Genomic DNA, 19,660 nt, shown 5'->3' with positions numbered 1-19,660 from the left:
CACAATAGGGATTGAGCTCCTGTGAGTATCTAATGCTGCTGCTGATCTGACAGGAAGCGGAGCTTAGGTGGTAATGGCAAGTGATGGGGAGCGGCTGTAAATACAGGTTGAAGCTTCGCTCACTTGCGTGCTCACTCGCCCGCCACTCACCTGCCATGTAGCCCACTTCCTAACAGGCCACGGACCAGCAGTGGTTTGTGGCCCAGGGGTTGGGAACCCCTGGTATAGTGGACATTTATGAAATGTTACTTACCTCCTGCTGCAAGGTACAGGCTGGTTGGAAGCTGGAGGCCAGTCAGGTTTGAAGTTGAGGAAGGCCCAAACCTGTGGGGACGCCAGGTTGCCATCCTGCCCTGTGGCAGGGGCTATCCAGGTTGTGCATGGACAGTCAAGGACTACTCTGTGCCCCTTCTGTTTTCTGGGAGAGTTCCCCCAAGCTTTCTAATTAAAGTCATCAAACCTTGGCTACTCAGAGACCATATCCTGAGAGATCTGGTAAGGGGTGTTTTGAGGATTCTCTCTGCCTGTTTAATTCCTTCAAGTTCAGATGCTTCTGGGAAGCCTTTTCTGAGCCATTCCCAGTTCCCCCAACCCAAGTGAGTTTGGAGCCCCTCCCCTGCGACTTCTTAGCATCCTGTTTTTGATCTCTATTAACACATTTTCACCTCAATTATGATCCGAGGCTTCCTTGCCTGCCTTCCCATGAGACCGCCAGCATCTTGGATGCAGGACAGGGTCTTATTTATCCTGGTACTGCCACTGTGTAGCTTGTTTCCTGGCACACAGCTGGCGCTCAGCAAGTGTCGGATGAGTGGATGATCAGCCTTGATTGGCTGAGGAGGAACTGGCATTTGGGGCTGGAGAAAACTCCATGTAATTGAGGGCTGAGCATGCTTCTTGTTTATTGGGCATTTGGCTGTCATATGGGAAATAGACATGGTGAACTCTGACCTTAACTGTGAGAGTTTTGGTCAGAAGATGGTTTCTCTGTCTTTTTGTCTTGTTCCAGTATAGCAGGGTTTCTCAACCTTGACACTTCTGACATTTGGGGCCAGATAAGTCTTTGTTGTGGGGGGTGGGTTTCTGTAGCGTCTCTGGCCTCTCCCCATAGATGCCAGTGGTAACTCTTCTCCAGTGGTGACACCCCAGAATGTCTCCAGATATTGCCAAATATCTCCTGGCACAAAATCACCCCCAGTTAAGAAACCCCTGCAGTATAGGGTAGCAGTTAGGAACACAAACTCCTAAGCCAGGCGTATGTGGGCTTATGTTTGCTTCTTATAATTACTAGCTGTATGCCCTTGGGCAAAGTACTTGACCTTTCTAACCCTCAGTTTCCTCAGTTGTAAAATGTGGATAATAGTTACCTTGAATATAACTTTATTGGGTGGAATTATTAATAAGGTCATGCATGTAAAGTGCTTAGTCGAGTCCCTGGCTCCATAATTACTGTTATTTGATAGAAGACTCTTGAGGGTCAAAAAAGAAAATATGCAGAGTTTAGGAAGAAAACAACATTTACTATGGGAATGCATGCACAAGGTAGAAAAATCAGAAGGTTCTCAAGCGTGTACCTGTGGAAAGTAAGTTACCCCCCTCTCCTCCCAGGAAACTTTTTTTTTTTTTGGTAGAGACAGAATCTCGCCGTGTTGCCCAGGCTGGTCCCAAACTCCTGGGCGCAAGCAATCCATCTATCTCAGCCTTCCAAAGTGCTGGTATTATAGGCTTGAACCACCAAACCCAGCCTCATATAACACTTTTTTTTTTTAATTAGGGCCTTGCTCTGTGGCCAAGGCTAGAGAGCAGTGGAGCTGTCATAGCTCACTGCAGCCTCGACCTCCCTGGCTCAAGCGATCTTCCTGACTCAGCCCCCCAAGTAGCTGGGACTACTAGCACACACCACCACACCTAGCTAATTTTTCTGTTTTTTGTGGAGATAGGGTTTCGCCACGTTGCCCAGGCTGGTCTTGAACTCCTGGGCTCAAGTGATCCACCTACCTGCGCCATCCCAAAGGACTGGGATTACAGGTGCGAGCAGGGGTGGTGTCCTGTGGGGTGACCCATTGTTGGGTTTGACATCACAGTAGGGAGGGACCTCAACTTTAATGAAAACAAAAAACTCCAAATACATTTTATGTACAAAACATATTGTCCTGGAGATCATAATCTACTTCTTTTGCTGGCCACGGCTTTTTTTTTTGTTTTTTAATTAATTAATTAATTAATTTAATTTTTGAGACAGGGTCTCGCTCTTTCGCCCAGGTTGGAGTGCAGTGCTGGGATTATAGCTCACTGCAGCCTCGACCTCCAGGGCTCAAGCGATCCTCCCACCTCAGCCTCCCGTGGCCACAATTTTTAAATGGTTGAAATAATAGAGGTCAGAGAGTAAGTACTGTGGCTCATTGAACCTTGCTGCGTGTGTGTGGAATGCCAGCACAGAGAATCCTTATGGACATCAATAGTTTGACAGTCCCAGGGTGATTAAGGTTGACCTCAGTAATGCAGTCAGCACAGATACGTGTAGAAAACTGGGGCTTAGGCTCTTGGATTCAAACGTGCTTGTTATGAATTGAAGAGAGATGGTTCGTAGGGCTGGGCTTCAAAGGAAGGAAGCAAAGGGCATGGTTAGAACTGAGAGTTGTTCACTCATATCTAAACAGCAGTGTGGACAGAGGCTCAGAGGTGGGAATTCCCGCTGCGAGTGGAGAGCGGGCCAGAAAGCAGGCTTAGTGGGTTCATTGTAACATCAAAAATCTACTCAGCTTCTGGTCTTGAAAGGTCTGGCAGTAGAATCTGTTCTCCCCACCCCAGCCGCACCACTTCCTATACTGGAACTTATTAACCTAAGCAGTCACTTTCCTGTCCCGAGTGGCAGGCTCCACTCGAATTTCGCCAGCCTGCCCCATGGGAAGCTGTATCACCAGAGCTCAGAGAGCAAAGCACTTCTCATTTCTGTAGTCTCGGGGCCATGTGGGCCCCTCAGGGATTTTCCCCCGTTACTGTGACTCAGTCAGCAGCCCAAATTAATGCTTGGCAAATGATTTAAAGTAAGAAAGAACTTGTTTAATTTTGTAAATCGTTTTTGTTAAATGTTGACTCCATACAAAAGAATGTGTTCAGTGTAAAGAATAAGGATACAAGAAACATCTTCCATGTACCCATTACCCAGTTTCCAAAAAGAACTTACTGTTACCTTTGGAGTCCCCTGTGTCCCCTCCCTGATCTCACCCGGCCCAAGTCATCCCTGAGTTTTGCTTTTATCACTCTTGCTTTTCTTTATAGTTTTACCATGTGTTTGTATTGCTAAACAATGTACCGTTTAATTCTGCAGGTTTTTGAACTTAATATAATCATATTGTTTTCTTCAGTGCCTTGACATTAATCCACGTTGCATAGAGTGGTATTTCATTTTCACAGATGAATAATGTTCCATTGTATGAGAATTTATTTATCCTTTCTATTACTGGTGGACATTTGGGTTGTTTCCAGTATTTTGCTGAGACAAACAGTGCCACTGTTCACATTCCCGGGACATGTATGCACAGCCTCTCCAGGGACTGCAGCTGGGAGTGGAGTCACAGGGTATGTGCGTCTTCAACTTAACAAATAATGCCAAGTTGTTGCCAAAACTGTTTCCCCAGTTTACCCTTCAACAATTCCGTTTGCCTCATATCCTCTCAACAATGGTATTTTCAGACTTCAACATTTTTACTAATCTGGTGGGCGTACAATGACATCTCATGTGGTTTTGATTTGCATTTTCCTGGTTCTGAGTTGGGCATCTTTTCGTTGCTTACTGATCATTCAGATTTCATCTTCTCGGAAACAACAGATTGTCTTGCTCATTTTTCTATTGGGTGGTTTGTAGACATTTTGTTAGTTTTTTGTTTTTTATTTCTTATTTTGGATACTAATTCTTTGTCAGTTATATGTGTTATAACTACCTACTTCCAGTTTGTGGCTTGTCTTTTCACTGTAGGATATTGTTTTTTGTTTTTGATGAGCAGAAATTCTTTTTTTTTTTTTTTTGATACGGAGTCTCACTCTGTTGCCCCGGCTGGAGTGCAGTGGCGCGATCTCAGCTCACTGCAAACTCCGCCTCCCAGGTTCAAGCGATTCTCCTGCCTCAGCCTCCTGAGTAGCTGGGATTACAGATGCGTGCCACCACGCCTGGCTAATTTTTTTTTATTTTTAGTAGACGGGGTTTCAGCATCTTGGCCAGGCTGGTCTTGAACTCCTGACCTCATGATCCACCCATCTCGGCCTCCCAAAGTGCTGGGATTATAGGCGTGAGCCACCGTGCCCGGCCTGTTCTCTGTTTAAATACCACACTGACTTGTAAAATACATCATTTTAGAAAACTGGTGAACTGGTGTCTAGTAAATCCTTGGCCCATTGCTCTTCCATTTTCATTTTATTTTTTTCTGAGACAGGGTCTCGCTCTGTCACCCAGGCTGTAGTGCAGTGGTGTGATCTTGGCTCACTACAGCCTTGACCTCCCAGGCTTAAGCTATCCTTCCGCCTCAGCCTCCCAAGTAGCTGAGACTAGAGGCACACGCCACCACGCTCAGCTATTTTTGTCTTTTTTGTAGAGACAGGGTTTCACCATGTAGCCCAAGCTAGTCTTGAATTCCTGGGCTCAAGCAATCCTCCCACCTCAGCCTCCCAACGTGTTGGGATTACAGGCGTGAGCCATCTTGCCTGGCCCCATTGTCATGTTAGATTACATTTGTCAAATGCCATAAAAATTGTTGGTATGTTTTATTAGAATTTGCATTGAGTTTATAATATATAAATTTGGGTAGAGCTGACATTTTTATGATGTTGAGTCATCTGATCCATAAATGTGGTATAGCTTTCAATTTACATAACTTATCAAAGTCTAAATTTAGTCAGTGTCTTTATACCTTACTCTCAAACAGTGAGGACCTGAGAACACTTTAATTGCTATCACTTTCTCTTCCACTTTTATTCTGTGGGTGTGCATTTTAGTTCTTTTTAAACCTTTTTTTTTTTTTCTCTCTAGAGACAGGGTCTCGCTGTTGTCCAGGCTGGAGTGCCGTGGCACAATCGCAGCTTACTGCAGCCTGGACCTTCTAGGATTATGCAATCCTCCTGCCTCAGCTTCTCGAGTAGCTGGGATCACAGGCACTCGCCACCACACCCTGCTAATTTTTACTTTTTACTTTTTTTTTTTTGGTAAAGACAGGGTCTCTTTTGGTAAAGACAGGCTGGTCTTGAACTCCTGGGCTCAAGCACTCCTCCTGCTTTGGCCTCCCAAAGTGCTAGGATTAGAGGTGTGAGCCACTGTGCCAGTCCTTTTACAACTTTTATGAGCATCATTAGTTCAGCATTTGTTTAGGTTTGCTCACTTATATATATACTACTTTCATTGTTCTTCCTTCCTTCTTGCATTTAATACTTTTCTTTCTGGGATCACTTTCATCTGCCTGAAATATGTGTTTCATAAGGTGTAAATTTGGGCTGTAGTCCTTTTGGGGGACTGCTAATCATTATACATTCTCAGGGAAGATTTTTCCCTCCTCTGTTCAGCACCAAGATTTGATATAGGCAGTTTCTGTATTGTCTTCTTTCCACCAAGGTTCAGTGAGACCTCCCTCTGGGGATGGGGTGGAGGGTGGGGCTCAAGCTTGCCCAGTTCTGCAAATGTCTTTTCTTGAAACCTGGTTTCAAAGCTCCACTTGCTCTCTGGATTTCAACCCTTGTTTAGATGTGTTTTGACCTCTCAGTATTACTTACTGACCTATCAGTTCTTTGATACATTTTATTTTATTTTTAACTCCTCTTACTATCATTCCCAATCTTTAATGCATTTTAAAAGATGTCTTATCATTTTTAGTCAGCATTTGTGGCTGTTTGCGGTGGGAGAATTGGCCAGGGCACCTTTGCCAGAAATGGAGTTGTTTCATAGTTTTCATTTTGCAGTTCATCTGGCAGCAGCAAACTGTGAATATATTAATGCTTAGTAATGTTCACTTCTGGATTGTGTGAGTCTTTTAAAATTAATTAATTTATATATTCTTTAGAGATGGGTTCTCACTATCTTGCCCAGGGTAGTCTCAAACTCTGGGGCTCAAGCAATCTGCCTGCCTTGGCCTCCCACAGTGTTGGGATTACAAGTGTGAGCCACTGTGCCCAGCCTTGGATTTGCTTTATTTTTTTATTTTTTTTAGAAACAGGGTCTCGCTGTTGCTCAGGCTGGAGTGCAGTGGTTACTCATAGGTGCAATCAAAGCTCACTACAGCCTTGAACTCCCGGCCTCAAGTGATCCTCCTGCTTCAGCCTTTCGAGTAGCTGGGACTACAGTCATGTGCCACCGTAGCCAACCACTGCTGGGTTTTATACGATGTTTTATCGCACTCATTAGTATAAGGAAGAGAGATTGTTATGTGCCTGTGATGACAGAGAATTTGTCCATTTGGTACAGGCTCAGGATCTGTTGAACCCGGTATTCTGTTTGTCCACAGAAGTTTTGTCCTTTTCTATAGCGGAAAGGGCACAGTTTTTAGAGTGTGATGGATTTGGCCTTGAATGTGGGCAGGGCTGTGCAACCTAGGTCAGCAACAACTTCTTAAACTGTGATTTGCTCATCTGCTCAATGGGGGTGACTGTATTAGTCCCCCCTCCCAGGATCATTGTGAGCACTGGTGAGGCGGCATGAAACACTGTGCGTGCGGCACCACAGCAGCTCTGGCCCTGACTCCCTTCATGGCTGCTGTGGGTTATGGTCTATTTGCAAGGGAAGCAACCAGCCCGTGAGTTTCTCTTGCCAGTAACCTCCTCTGGAGTCTCAGCAGATGGAGCTGTTAGTAGCAAGGCTGAGTTTCCTCTCTGCACAGGGCACAGTTCCACCCACAGTCCCTTATCAGGAATCACAATTTTTATTTCATTTTATTTTATTTTTTATTTTATTCAAGATAAGGTCTCGCACTGTCACCCGAGCTGGAGCAGCAGTGCCACAATCTCAGCTCACTGCAGCCTCAACCTCCCAGGCTCAAGTGATCCTTCCACCTCAGCCTCCCGAGTGGCTGGGACCATAGACACCTGCCACCACACCCGGCTAAATTATTTTGGATTTTTTGTAGAGACGGGATCTCACCATGTTGCCCAGGCTGGTCTCCAACTCCTGAACTTAGGCAATCCTCCTGCCTCAGTCTCCCAAAGTGCTGAGATTACAGGCACGCGCCACCTCTCCCGGTTTACTGATAAAGCATATATATTAACATCGTAAAATATACTTCTCCACTGGGACCCCCACCCCATGTCGTCACCCCATGTCGTCACTAGCTGTGCCTCCGTCTCCATCCCATTCCCCCCACCTCCCTGGTCTTACTAGGACCAGGAGCCAGGTCACACTTGGGGGTGGTCTCCAGGTTTCTCTCAGAAGTTTGCACTTCAAAGCGGCTGGCGGGTGGGAGCAGCTTTGCTGATTGATCGCTGCCGCAGGTGGTAGGGATTTGAGGGGCTGGAGGTCAGCAGCGCTGTTTGTTGAAGGGCGAGCCCTGGGCCCCTGAGCCTCTCCTAATCCTCACTGGGCTGCTTCTAAAAACTCTGCTGTAGGACAGCACTTCCGCATCCGTTTTTAAAACTCACTGGAAACTGAGACATTGAGTCTTGACCACTGATTATCCAGGCCCAACTTACAGCTTCAGGATCCCCAAAATATTACTCTAAAATATTCTTACTCGTTTAGTTTTTTCCCAGTGAAGTTTTACAGAATCTTAGCTTAATCCTATTTGGAATAGGAAATATAAAATCTGATGTTGGCTTCTGCCATATGTATTTCATAGTTGGTGTTTATATCCTATACAGTTAATGTTCATAGTTGGAAATCTTAAAGATAATACTGTAGGGAAAGTTTTAAATGGAAAAAAGTCTGCTAACTGCTAGGTAAATGCCTCATTTTAATTGTCACACTGTATCTGTTATACTTCGAATGCATGGCAGCCTCATTAATGAAATCATTCATTCATTTATTCAACATTTCTTAAATCTTTTTTCTTTTTTTGAGACGGGGTCTCACTCTGTTGCCCAGGCTGGAGTGCAGTGGTGCAATCACTGCTCACTGCAGCGTTGACCTTGTGGGCTTAAGTGATCCTCCCGCCTCTGCCTCCCAAGTAGCTGGGACCACAGGCATGCACCAGCACGCCTGGCTAATTTTTGTATTTTTTTCTGGAGATGGGGTCTCACCATGTTGCCCAGGCTGGAGCATGTATTACATCTTAACACTACAAGGGACCTTGGCAGTTACCTAATCCTAATGAGGATACAAACCCAGAAAAAGTCAGTCACACTTGAAGAGCCTGTGCACACATGGAAGTCCAGCTACATCCATTTCCAGTTCTTACTTAACCTGCTTTTTTCTTTTGGCTTGAATTCTTGATCTTCAAGAGCATCATGGGCCATCCGGCCCTTCCTTTGTGATTGTTCTTCTTCCTCAGTGAGAGCCTCTTTGCTCCTGCAGTCCTTGTGTCCTTTGTAGAAAGAAGGTGGCGGTTACCATCAAGTATTAAGCATTTATGCCTTTGATTCTGATTCCTGTCGAGTGGAGTAAGCACTGCAGTGTGGGGGGCCTTTTCCTGGTCTTTTTTCAGGTTGAAACTTGATGGGTGCCCTGATTACTGATGAGATTTTTACATCCGTTTTCAGAAGATAGGATAAGGATGACAGCATTGGGCTCTCTTCTTTCTATATAGTTTTTTTCTTTTTTAAAAAATTAAGAACAAGTTCAAGCCAAATGTTTTCTATAATTTATCAGCCTTGCTGGCTTGGGTTTATATGTAATGATAGAATGATGATGGCCAGCAGTAGCTTTATGAAGAAGAAACTTTTGTCATCATCTCCATTTTACAGAAGAGGAATTGAGGTGCAGAGATTGTGCCTGCAGAGATTGTGCAGAGTTAAGTGCCTGCCTGAGGCACTTAACTAGCTTCGGCTGGATTTGGAGGTAGGAGTGTTTTAACTGGGTCCTGGGAGCAGCAAGCCCCCCACAGTTGCGTGTTGAATTGCGTGTGCATGTGTCCCTGGGAGAAGGACTTCAGTGTCGTCGCAGTGTCAGGGGGCTTCCTCTGTTTGAGCACGAGGACACCAGCTGTGGTGCTCGGGGCGTCCCCTCAAGGAATTTCTGCTCATATTGTTTTCCTGAGTGATACATTGATTCTCTGTGCACATTACCACAATTTTCCATTTCCCTCATGAGAAATTTTTTCCTTTGAGAAGTTTTCAGTCACTAGGTCTTGTAGAAAATGTCTTAAAGATTTTATGATAGATAGAAATAAAGGACTTAGGTCTCTGACTTTGCAGGCATTTATTTTCTTTCTTTCTTTTCTGTCTTTTTTATTTTTATTTTTTGACAGAGTTTTGCTCTGTTGCCTATGCTGGAGTGCAGTGGTGTGATCATAGCTTGCTGCAGCCTCAAAACTCCTGGGCTTAAGTGATCCTCCCACCTCAGCCTCCCAGATAGCTGGGACCTCCCTCCCTCCCTTCCTCTCCTCCCTCTCCTCCCTCCTTCCCTCTGTCTACTCTCTCCCTCTCCTCCTTCTCTTCCCTGTTGCTTCCTCCTTTCCTCCCTCCCTCTCCTCCCTCCCTTCCTCCCTCCCTCCCTCCCTCCCTCTCCTCCCTCTTCCTTCCCTTCCCTCCTCTTTTTCTCTCCATTGTTCTTTAGCTTTCTCAGTTTTAATTTTTTAATAGATAGTGTTTACAAGTGGTGAAACAGCACAGAAAGGATATATAGTGAAAAGTTGAGCTCCTTCCCCACTTCCCCTGCTCCCCTGAGGGGCTTCTCTTTACCAGTTTTGTGTATACCCTACAGAAATGTGGACGTTGTCTTTTAAAAATAAGTAAAATGTGTACATTCTTAGCCTGGGCTCATAGTTTTGGACAAATGGCATGGCCCACCTTCCACTGGGAAGGGTCAGGTACTAAATTTTAAGAGACTTTGAGCTACTCCAAGAAGAGGTGCTTAAAACTTTTAGAGGATTTAATAGTATTTAGTGGGAAGGCCACTGGTTCAGGCTGCCAGAAAGAATCATGTAAGTGTGTGTTGGATTCTTGGCACCAGCTAAACCCTTCTAGGGCCACCTGGGGGTGACATCATCCCATTTTTCCTATCCCAAGGGTCCAGCCCAGTGGGACTTCATCTCCCCCTTTCAAGTCCCAGTGTGACTCCTGACTGCCAAGGTTGTCACTGAGGCCTGGTGTGGTGGTCCCAGCCCAAGTGCCTAGCCCCAGCCTGGCCCTCCAGCTGTGTTTCCCATCACTTTGTCCCCTCCCTCCTGTGTGCTGGGGCATGATCCCCCTTCTCCACCTGGCCCCTCAGCCATCATTGCTTATGCTGTCCCCTGCCCAAAGGTCTTTCTTGCCTTCGTCTGTCTTTAGGTGTGGTCACGTCGTCCCAGGCTGGCGCTTCGGCAGCCCCCATTCAGCACTCATCACACTGTCCTTCTGCCCCAGTGAAGGTCAAGGGGCTGGGGCTCAGACCCAGCCTTATCCCAGGGCCCCTGGCACTTTGCAGTGGACTTTGAAGTAAACCTCCACTCCACCATCCCCTCAGCCCACCAGTTATGGAGATTGGACCCCCGAATCCCTCTATATTGAAATTGAGTTCCCAGGCCTTCTGCCCTGAGTTGCTCCATAACAAAGGCCTGACGGTGGAAGGCTGCAGCCAGAGAGAAGCAACACCTGTGTGTTTTTTTTTTTTTTTTTTTGGTCGTATTGGACCAGGCTGTGGCTCTGTTAGCTTCCGTCAGCCGCCTTCCCAAGGCTTTGGCCAGCTGCTGTCCTGTTTGACAGGGGCCCTGTGCTCCCCTGGTGCAGGGAGGTCACTTGGGATCATCTGGTTTGTTTTTGTTTTATTAGTTCATCATTTCCCTTTTGTTTTAACTGTGTTTCAGTCACAGAGCTGTGTTAGAGAAGTAATATCTAGTTCTACTTTTGCCAATATTTGGGCAACACTTCCTATCTGCTAGTTGTCTCATTGCACACTCGTATTTATGGTGGTTTTCCTATTTTACAGGTGAGCAATCTAAAACTCAGAGATGCTTGCCTGAGGTCACTGTGTTAAGTTTGGAGCTGGGATTCTGAGTCCATTGGTTTCTTCTCTTGTTTATCCAATACCTGCTTCCATGGATATCTTGTTCCACCTTGTGGCTTTAATTACCGTCTCTACAAGCAGACATCTCAGCTGTAATTGGCCAGAACAGAACTCTGATTCCCCCCACGGAGTCTCCTCCTGCCACTCCTCCTCCTCTCAGGAAGCGGCACCGCCACTGGGCCAGTGTCTCCGGGCACAGATCTTAGTGTCATCCTTGACTCCTTTCCTTCTGTCACAACGCACATCTGCTTGATCAGCTAATGGTGTTGGCTCTGCCAAAACATATTCCTAATATAACCTCTTCTCGCCTGTTTTCTACCTCCTTGGTGAGGCCACTGCTGTCTCTTCTCTACTGTAGTAGCCTAACTGGGGCCCCTACTAAGCCTCCTTGCGGTCTGTCTTTGCACTGCAGTCAGAGGGGCCTTTTAGGAACCTCACTCTTCTGCTCTTTTCTGTCACTCTTCGTCACTCCCAAGGCATCCCAGTGCACTTAGAAGAAATCCAAAGTCCGCTGTGTCCCTGAGACCCTGGGCGAGCTCAGCCCCTGCTGCTGTCATTCTCATGCACACCTGCTCCTCTCCAGATACACCGGCCCCTGTGCCACACACCTCCTCCTCTCCACACACACCGGCCCCTGTGCCACACACCTCCTCCTCTCCACACACACCGGCCCCTGTGCCAAAGTCATGCCCGCCTCAGGGTTTTTGCATCTGCTCTTCTCATGTCTGTGATGGTCCCTGGGCATACAGTGGCCTAGCTCCCTCTTAAACCTCATTCAGGTCTTTGCTTAAATGCCACCTCCTCTGAGGTCCCCCTTGCCTCCTTTATTTTTACTTTTTTTTTTTTTTTTTGAGATGGAGTCTCTCACTGTCACCCAGGCTGGAGTGCAGTGGCACGATCTTGGCTCACTGCAACCTCTGCCTCCCAGGTTCAAGCATTCTCCTGCCTCAGCCTCTTGAGTAGCTGGGATTACAGGCACCCACCACCATGCCCGGCTAATTTTTTATATTTTTAGTAGAGATGGGGTTTCACTATGTCGGCCAGGCTGGTCTTGAACTCCTGACCTCGTGATCCACCCGCCTCAGCGTCCCAAAGTGCTGGGATTACAGGCGTGAGCCACTGTGCCCGGCCGCCTCCTTTCTTAAATAGTAAATAGCCCCTGCCTCTCGATCTGCTCAGCTTGCTTTAGTTTCTCCACAGCACTTGGTAGCTGCCATTGTTTATTATACCCATTTATTACCTGTCTTCCCCACTCAGTTTGAAGTTCTAACATAGTACCTAGGACAAACACAAGGTAGACTCTCATTAGACATTTGTGAAATTCATTAGTCCTCTCTCTCTATGTATCTGTTTCCTAATTTATAGGCTGAGCACCCCTAAAGGGCAATGCAATAATTATGAGTAGATGAGCAGCTGTATCACCCCACTGATTTTCTCTATATTGGGGAAATTTCTCATCCATGTACATAGAATTGTTGCTTAAATGCCTTTGTGATTAATGGAATGGACATTCACTTTTTCATAGTGGCTTTTTTCTATTATTTTATCAGTTAACAAGCACCAGAAGTACAACTGTCATTTCATAAGGGTCTAGGAAATACTTTGACATTGTGTTAGTCATTCTCAAAAAAGCCAGGGATCTCTGCTCTCAACAGGCCTGTTCCCTACTTGATCTGTAACCACTTGAAAGCAGGGTTCTGGGTAATGTGCTATAAACAGCTGTAAGGAAGAAATAAGAAGTAGCCCCACCTTGCAGTGAGTTTATTAAACTGGTAGGAGAGAGGAGGTGACACACTGTGTCATTTAAGGTGGTGTCAGTGCCATTGCTTGACACTTGGGAAGTATTTGTGGCTGATGGGTGTGTGTGCCTTGGGGAATGATCAGGTACTGCCCAAGTCCCAGATGTCGTGATTTTGTCTTTTTGGCAGGAAGGCCCCTTAATTTACCCTGTGTTGAGCTTTACAAGTCCCTGGTATGCGTACTAGCACAGTGGATTCTAAGCTGGCCTGGGCTGCTGGAATCCTGGACAGCTCTTTTTCAGGGCCTGCCAGCCTTCCCTTTTGTGCATAGTCCTAGAGCAGTGGGGTCCATCAGGGATCAGGCAGAGGGGTGTCTGCCCCCTCAAAAGTGTGGCTAAACTTTAGTTGTGGATGTTGATAGGGTCTCCCTCTGTCACCTAGGCTGGAGTGCAGTGGTGCAGTCATAGCTCACGCCCAGCTAATATTCTAATTTTTATTTTGTAGACATGGGGTCTCACTATGTTGCCCAGGCTGGTCTCAAGTTTCTGGCCTCTTTAAAGTGATCCTCCAGCCTTGGCCTCCCAAAGTACTAGGATTACAGGTGTGAGCCATTGCACTTGGCCTAAATCTGAAAGATAGCGGTAGTTGTATAGTTTGAAAAGCAAAGTCAGCATCATAACTGCATTTTATATTTAGACATTTTTAAGATTTAAAAAAATCTGTTTTTTTATAATACAAACTTCCGAAAATACTGCTGAACCTTGGCTGGTGGGACTGTGTAGAGATAGCAGTGATTCTTATGCTGGGAATGGGTACTCTCCAGTGGAAATATCAGAATCAGGTTGTCGGGAGGAGCCAAGATTTATATGTTTATCTAAAGGAGAAAGTGATTTTAAAAGTTTGAGAAATCCAATCTTAATACAAGAAGAGTGTTTGCTGGGTGAGGAGGAAAGTGCCAGCAGGGTTGGTTTTGTTCATTTTTGCTTCTCTGCCATGTCTTGCACTCAAAGGGATATGTTGTCAAACTGGGGTGGTTGGTGGGGTTGGGCAGGTAGGTTTCATGCTCACAAGCCTGGCCTGGTGTGAACTTCCATTTCCTTGGAAGTTTTCATTTGTTTGTTTGTTTGTTTGTTTTTGGAGACAGAGTCTCACTCTGTGGCCCAGGCTGGAGTGCAGTGGTGTGATCTTGGCTCACTGTTACCTCCGCCTCCCGGGTTCAAGTGATTCTCCTGCCTCAGCCTCCCGAGTAGCCGGGACTACAGGTGCGCACCACCACACCCAGCTAATTTTTGTATTTTTAGTAGAAATGGGCTTTGCCATGTTGGCCAGGCTGGCCTCAAACTCCTGACCTCAAGTGATCCGCCAGCCTCGGCCTCCCAAAGTGCTGGGATTATAGGCGTGAGCCACCGCACCTGGCCAGAAGTTTTTTATTTGTTTTTTTGAGATAGGGTCTTGCTCCATTGCCCAGGCTGGAGTGCAGTGGCACAATCACAGCTAACTGCAGCCTCGACCTCCTGGCTTAATCTGTCCTCCTGTCTCAGCCTCCCGAGTGGCTGGAACCACAGGTGTGTGCCACCACACTCAGGTAATTTTAAAATTTCTTTTGTAGAGACAGGGTTTCACCATGTTGCCTAGGCTTGTCTCAGACCTCCCACAGTCCTGCCTCGGCCTCCTAAAGTGCTGGGATTACAGGTGTGAGCCACCGTGCCTGGCTCCTTTGGAAGTTTATGTTGATCCACCTGTATTTCTAGAAAATCAAGAATGCTGAGCAACTGGAAGCCAAATGGTGATCCTTCTCACCTGCCCTTAGGTTCCTCAAGCACCTGGACACAAGATGGCTCATGTCAAGGCTCAGAGCTGGGAGCAGCTTGTTCTGGGAGCCGGGGACTGTTGTTTGTAAAGATCAGTGTCTCCCTATGGTAGGCCAGTTGCTTCCTGGCTTAATGGCTTCCCTTTGTGGCAGTTTGGAAACCCTGCAGGTAGTTTAGTGCATACTAATAACCTGGGTAACATTTCATGTTTGACAGGTGCCCATTTGACTCTGACATGGAGCTGTGCTCTCTGGGGCCACTTAGCACTCTGGGCATGCACTCCAGCCTTTGTCTGGGAGCACTCTTGGGGTTTAACAGAACAGTTGTTCAATATAAAGTGCCTCCTGGCAGAGACAATAGCTCTAGATGTCTCTCCACTCAGTGCCCCTCCCATCACTTCCTCCCTGTCTTCATGCTAATTGTGCTCTGGAATTCTTCCAGATTGCATTTAGGAGTGATGGGTTATGATTACACCTCTTAACAAGGTCAAGTACCCCATGTGCCCAGTGCAAAGGGGTATATAGAAACCATCTGATAAAGACTTTGGCCTAAAAAAATGAAACTATCATCTGCATCTCTGCTTCCTGGCAACAGTAGTTTGTTGCATGCTCACGATATGCCAGGCTCTGTACAGGGTCTTGACCTATGTTACTTAATTTAATCCTGTCACAAAGGAAGTCATACCATTAGCCCTGTTGGCCATTGGAGAAGCTTTGCTGGAGATCACCTGCGGGTGGCTGGTGGAACCCAGATCCAGGTCCTGCTTGGCCTGTCCCGGGAGGCTCTGCTGCTTCCATGGGGCTCAGCCGCCACTGGAATCCCTGCGTCGTGGAGGCAGCAGTATGGAACTTGGCACCAGAGTGGATTTCACGGCCCAAACAGAAACCTGGCTTACTCAGCAGTCTGTGGTGCTTTGGGACTGCAAGACAGATGCAATGGGTTGTGCTTTCTGGGGCCAGCCCTTCCAAATCCCACCCGCAGGAGCCTTGGCGGCTCTCTTAGCTCCTCTGACCCTCGCTGCCACGCTGGGCCTCAAGGCAGCCCTGGTGAGCATGGCCGGGAGTGTGGTTGGGAGCAACCCAGCCTTGGCCAGCACACTCTGTGCCATGACTGGATCAAGTCTGGCAACTGAACCTCACTTTTTTCTTATTAAAATTTTTGAAAAATGGCTGGGTGCAGTAGCACACGCCTGTAATCCCAGCACTTTAGAAGGCCAAGGTAGGCAGATTGCTTGAGCCCAGGAGTTTGAGACCAGCCTGGGCAACATGGTGAAATCCTGCTTCTACAAAAAAAAAAAAATACATTTTTTTAAATAATTGGAATGTTTTCATGTAAATGTATATGAAATATACACATTTAGTTTAAGTAATAAATCCAGGGGACTCCAAGTAAAGAAAGAGAACTCTTCTAGGATCTCAGAAGTCCCCTGCTTACCCTCCCCCATCCAGAGAGAACCGTCATCCTGAACCTTTGGCTGAATCACTTCCTTTTCTTCCTGGTTTTACCGTCCGTCTCAGTTATCTCCTGCTGCACAGCACAGCACCCCAAAACCCAGTGGCATAAGTCATCGGTGAGTCAGTCTTTCTTAGTTGGATGGGTGGACAGGCAGTCGCTTGCTCCCCGAGGTGTTGGTTGAGGCCGTGCGTGCAGCAGCGCACAGCTGGGCTGGGAGGTCCAGGAAAGTGTGTCCCTCGCCACAGAGCATTGGTGCTGTCAGTGGCCTCTCTGCTCTTCTCCATGTGCCCTCTCCCCAGAGCCCCTCCATGTGTCTCCCACTCACACGGGAGCTTGGACTTTCCTCCAGCTCGGTGACTGGATTCCCAGGAGCCACAGCAGAATCTTCCAGGCTTCTTTAGGTTTAGGTCTGGAATTGGCACAGTCCCAGCATCCTGATGTCAGAGTCGTCTCTGGGCCATCCAGATTCCGACAGGAGGGAAACAGACACCGTCTCTCCATGGGAGGCGTGGTGGGCCCTGGCAGGGGAGGAATGGCTGGCCATCCTGAGAGGGGCTCTGCATCATCCGCGTCCGTTCCGCCGTGTCGGTTCTGCCGCGTCTGTTCCGCTGTGTCAGTGTGCCTGTCCGGACTCACACTGCAGGTGTCCTCAGTGCCTCACTTTTTTGTTCCCCAGTGAATTCCTCGTGAGGGAGCCCAGGGCTCTGTGTCCACCTAAGCTTTTGGTCATCAGGACAGCATCCCAGCTCTGACACCTGAGGTGAGGGAGAAAAACTGAGTGACTAGAGGTGTTGGGAAAAGGTGCCCGATTGCAGCTAAGACTTTGTGAGTGGGGGTCAGGTCAGTCTGCATCTAAAATGAGGACTCTGGGCTGCTGGGCTCTGTGGTCTCGTTCTGTTGGCATTTTCTATGGTTCTAAGGTTTTAGGATCTTCCTTAGAAGTTGCTTTAACTAGTGCACATATTTATCGCCCATCACGCAAGGTGAAGACAAGACCACAGACCTTGACACTTGTGCTTGAGCGATGGGCACCGTATTCCAAGGGTGGGGTGGGGCAGGCTGCCTGGTGGGAACAGTATTTCTTCACCCTGTGTTCCCGCACATCTGGGGGCGATGGGGAGCAGCTGGCTGTTGATCTGATTACTGTGGTTAACGTCTCCCCAGACAGCACCTCCTAGCACGTACTTAGGAGGGGATATGTTCCTAGGACCTGCACACCCCTTCGCTCCCAAACCCTTTTCCTATGTCCCTCCAAGCCTGGCCGTCCTGCTGGGTTCCTGTCGCTGAGGAATAGATAAGAGGGGAACTAGGATACAGGCTGGTGATCCCTCCAGAGCAGTTCACGTGGGTTGGAGGTGGGGGACTGCCTAGTTCTAGCTCAGCCCCTCAGAGGGAAGGACCCAGCCGGCCATGCCTCCGTCTCGCCACGGGCCTTGAGAGAGGGGCTGTTAAAGCTTCCCGGCTGGGGAACAGCCTGGGGGACCCTGAGCTCCACTTGCCCTGTGAGGGTGGGGCTTCGGTTGTAAAGTCCACAGTGACACAGTTCTGCGGGTAACACCATTTAGCACTTAGTCCGCCCCCTCCTGGCCCCCTCGAGCTGCTCTTGCACCCCTGGGAGGCCAGTCCCAGATTGTACTGGTAAGCGCATTTCAGCTGCTGCTGATCTCTCTGTGGGTACAGGGCCCCTCCCTCCCTCCCTCTCTCCCTTCCTTCCTTCCTTCTTCTCTCTCCTTTCCTTCCCTTACTTTGCCCATCTTCACTTCTTCCTCCCCCCTTCTTATCATTTCTCCTGTTTTCTTCCCTTTTGGTGCGTTTCTCTGCTGGGGCAGCCTCAGAGGATTATAGACGCCTCTGTTTCTCCTCCTAACACCCGTGTGTGGGAGGAGCCCACTTCTGGGCGGGCATCTTGCATTGGAAAAGTGCAGTCAGCACGGTGGAAAATGTTGCTCATGGGCACACAGCTGCTCTCTTGGCGGGTGGTGGTATGTGGGGGGCTGGGCCACCACCCACCCTGTCCTTGGGGCCTTTACTATTTTATTATCTAGCGAATGTGTCTTATCTAATCTATCTAGCTTACCCATCCATCCATCCATCCAGTCCCAGGACAGCTGTATGGCTGGGCGGGGCTGCGCTTGCCAGGAAGCCCCAGGGCACATGGCCACAGGGAGGCTCATCCCAGCCTTGGGCCCACACAAGGGGATTGATCCTGTCCCTCCCCTTGGCTAGGAGTCTCCTCACATGTCTCTTCCCGGCAAGTCAGATGGTTTTCCTGCTAGAGGGTTCTTTGTACCTCTGGGGGTTCAGCTGATGCTCCCCAGGTTGTTTTAGCACCTGGGTGGCTCAAGTTTCGGGTTGGCTCCTGGGGAAGGTGAGGAAGCCAGGCACACAGCCTGGAGAGAAGGGTTGGGCCTCACTTGCAAGTTCCAGATGGGCTGCTTCTGAAGCCAGTTGAGGATTTTGCCCTGTGTGGGCCCTGGTATTCCCCTCTTCTGCACTTGGGGCTCCTGGGTATGTAGGGGGTGACTAGCAATTGAGGCCCAGGGCTTGCCACCCACACACCTGTGTGCTCACGTGACCTTTTCCACAGCCAGGAGAAGACAGCTCTAGGGTTGCCGTGGCCTGGGCCCACCTCGCCCCTGCCTTTGGTTCCTTCTGCACCCACCTTGCCCTTTGTGCCCTTCAGGTCTTGATCCACAAGCTGGACATTGGTGCCTCCCCATGTCCAGTGCATAGGAGCAGCGCAGCCACGATTCTCCCTTGCGTTCCTTCAGGTCACAGATAGGAACCTGCTGCTTCCAGGGACTGAGGACAGGAGAGAAAGGCCTCTGTGCTTTGCTCCAGGTGGCCGTGTGCTGCTGCCAGCCACTTGGTGCACTTGGTGCGGGGCCAGCTGCCCCAGGGCCTTACCTCCTGATTTCGGGGCTGGCCCTGGCTCTCCAGTGCTTACACTTAGGGCTCTAGCCACAGCCATTTAGGAATGTCATTGAGAGAGCCAAAGCCTGCGCGGGGATGTGTAGGGGGAGGGAACAGCTGTTTCTGGGCCTCTGGCAGCAGCAGCAACGCTGAACTTGTGGCTCGGAGGCTGGTGCGCTGTGGCTCATGCCTGTTGCCACTGCCATGCTCCCCGTTATTTGTTGCGTCACTTCCCCCCGCTCAGCAGATACCCCCACTTGTGAAAAGTTTCCAGACATCACGTGGTGGGAGGCCTTGGCGCCCTTCAAGGCCGACCTGTGCTGGTGTGAGGGGCGTGGCTTCCTCCGGACTCATCACAGCCCGACAGCCATGCATGGCCACAGCAGCTTCAGAGCTGCGGCAGTGATTCACCCCCCAAGATGCTGATGTCACAGGGGAGTGCCTGAGCCGGGGCAGAGCTGCCGAAACTGGGGGCGGAGAGCCCCAAAGTGTCCCTCTCACCTGCCCAGAAGCCGGGGAGCCAGCCCCGTGCAGACTCAGGCCTCAGAGAAGAGGAGGAGTAGGCAGAGAACTCACTACCCCTTAGCAGATCCTGGGCCAGGGCGTGACAGCCGTGCCCAGTTGAATCT

General features: G+C 48.6%; 1 protein-coding gene and 1 long non-coding RNA gene across 11 annotated transcripts in view, besides 6 other annotated features; one reads left to right on the top strand and one right to left on the bottom strand.

Moving 5' to 3' along the window:
* ZBTB17 (zinc finger and BTB domain containing 17) overlaps positions 1–19,660 on the top strand; it is a 34,233-nt gene that overhangs the window by 6,959 nt on the left and 7,614 nt on the right. The gene's annotated exons all lie outside the window — the stretch shown is intronic.
* LOC124903855 (uncharacterized) lies at positions 1,500–19,212 on the bottom strand. 2 transcript variants are annotated; one of them, XR_007065486.1, is made up of 3 exons: positions 18,781–19,212; positions 16,098–16,873; positions 1,500–15,582 (listed from the first exon to the last, which is right to left on the bottom strand). It is a non-coding gene; the product is annotated as an uncharacterized LOC124903855 (long non-coding RNA). The 2 variants fall into 2 exon arrangements; XR_007065484.1 differs by having other exon boundaries at positions 1,500–16,873.
* Positions 3,021–3,210: an enhancer, noted in NCBI's record as "active region_256". NCBI's record gives its function as "activates an Ori minimal core promoter by ATAC-STARR-seq in GM12878 lymphoblastoid cells {active_cell/tissue: GM12878}" and the evidence as "EXISTENCE:reporter gene assay evidence [ECO:0000049][PMID:35858748]".
* Positions 3,493–3,662: an enhancer, noted in NCBI's record as "active region_255". NCBI's record gives its function as "activates an Ori minimal core promoter by ATAC-STARR-seq in GM12878 lymphoblastoid cells {active_cell/tissue: GM12878}" and the evidence as "EXISTENCE:reporter gene assay evidence [ECO:0000049][PMID:35858748]".
* Positions 7,106–7,979: an enhancer, noted in NCBI's record as "OCT4-NANOG-H3K4me1 hESC enhancer chr1:16287659-16288532 (GRCh37/hg19 assembly coordinates)". NCBI's record gives its function as "activates a minimal SCP1, AML or CMV promoter by ChIP-STARR-seq in naive and primed H9 embryonic stem cells {active_cell/tissue: H9 hESC(naive and primed)}" and the evidence as "EXISTENCE:reporter gene assay evidence [ECO:0000049][PMID:30033119]".
* Positions 15,548–16,747: an enhancer, noted in NCBI's record as "CDK7 strongly-dependent group 2 enhancer chr1:16278891-16280090 (GRCh37/hg19 assembly coordinates)". NCBI's record gives its function as "activates an origin of replication core promoter dependent on BRD2, BRD4, P300/CBP, MED14 and CDK7 cofactors, with strong dependence on CDK7, by STARR-seq in HCT116 cells {active_cell/tissue: HCT116}" and the evidence as "EXISTENCE:reporter gene assay evidence [ECO:0000049][PMID:35650434]".
* Positions 17,991–18,040: an enhancer, noted in NCBI's record as "active region_254". NCBI's record gives its function as "activates an Ori minimal core promoter by ATAC-STARR-seq in GM12878 lymphoblastoid cells {active_cell/tissue: GM12878}" and the evidence as "EXISTENCE:reporter gene assay evidence [ECO:0000049][PMID:35858748]".
* Positions 18,460–19,247: an enhancer, noted in NCBI's record as "H3K27ac-H3K4me1 hESC enhancer chr1:16276391-16277178 (GRCh37/hg19 assembly coordinates)". NCBI's record gives its function as "activates a minimal SCP1, AML or CMV promoter by ChIP-STARR-seq in primed H9 embryonic stem cells {active_cell/tissue: H9 hESC(primed)}" and the evidence as "EXISTENCE:reporter gene assay evidence [ECO:0000049][PMID:30033119]".

This window comes from Homo sapiens, chromosome 1 (genome assembly GCF_000001405.40).
Source record: "Homo sapiens chromosome 1, GRCh38.p14 Primary Assembly".
Taxonomy (NCBI): domain Eukaryota; kingdom Metazoa; phylum Chordata; class Mammalia; order Primates; family Hominidae; genus Homo; species Homo sapiens.
This window is presented reverse-complemented; position numbering and strand designations above follow the sequence as displayed.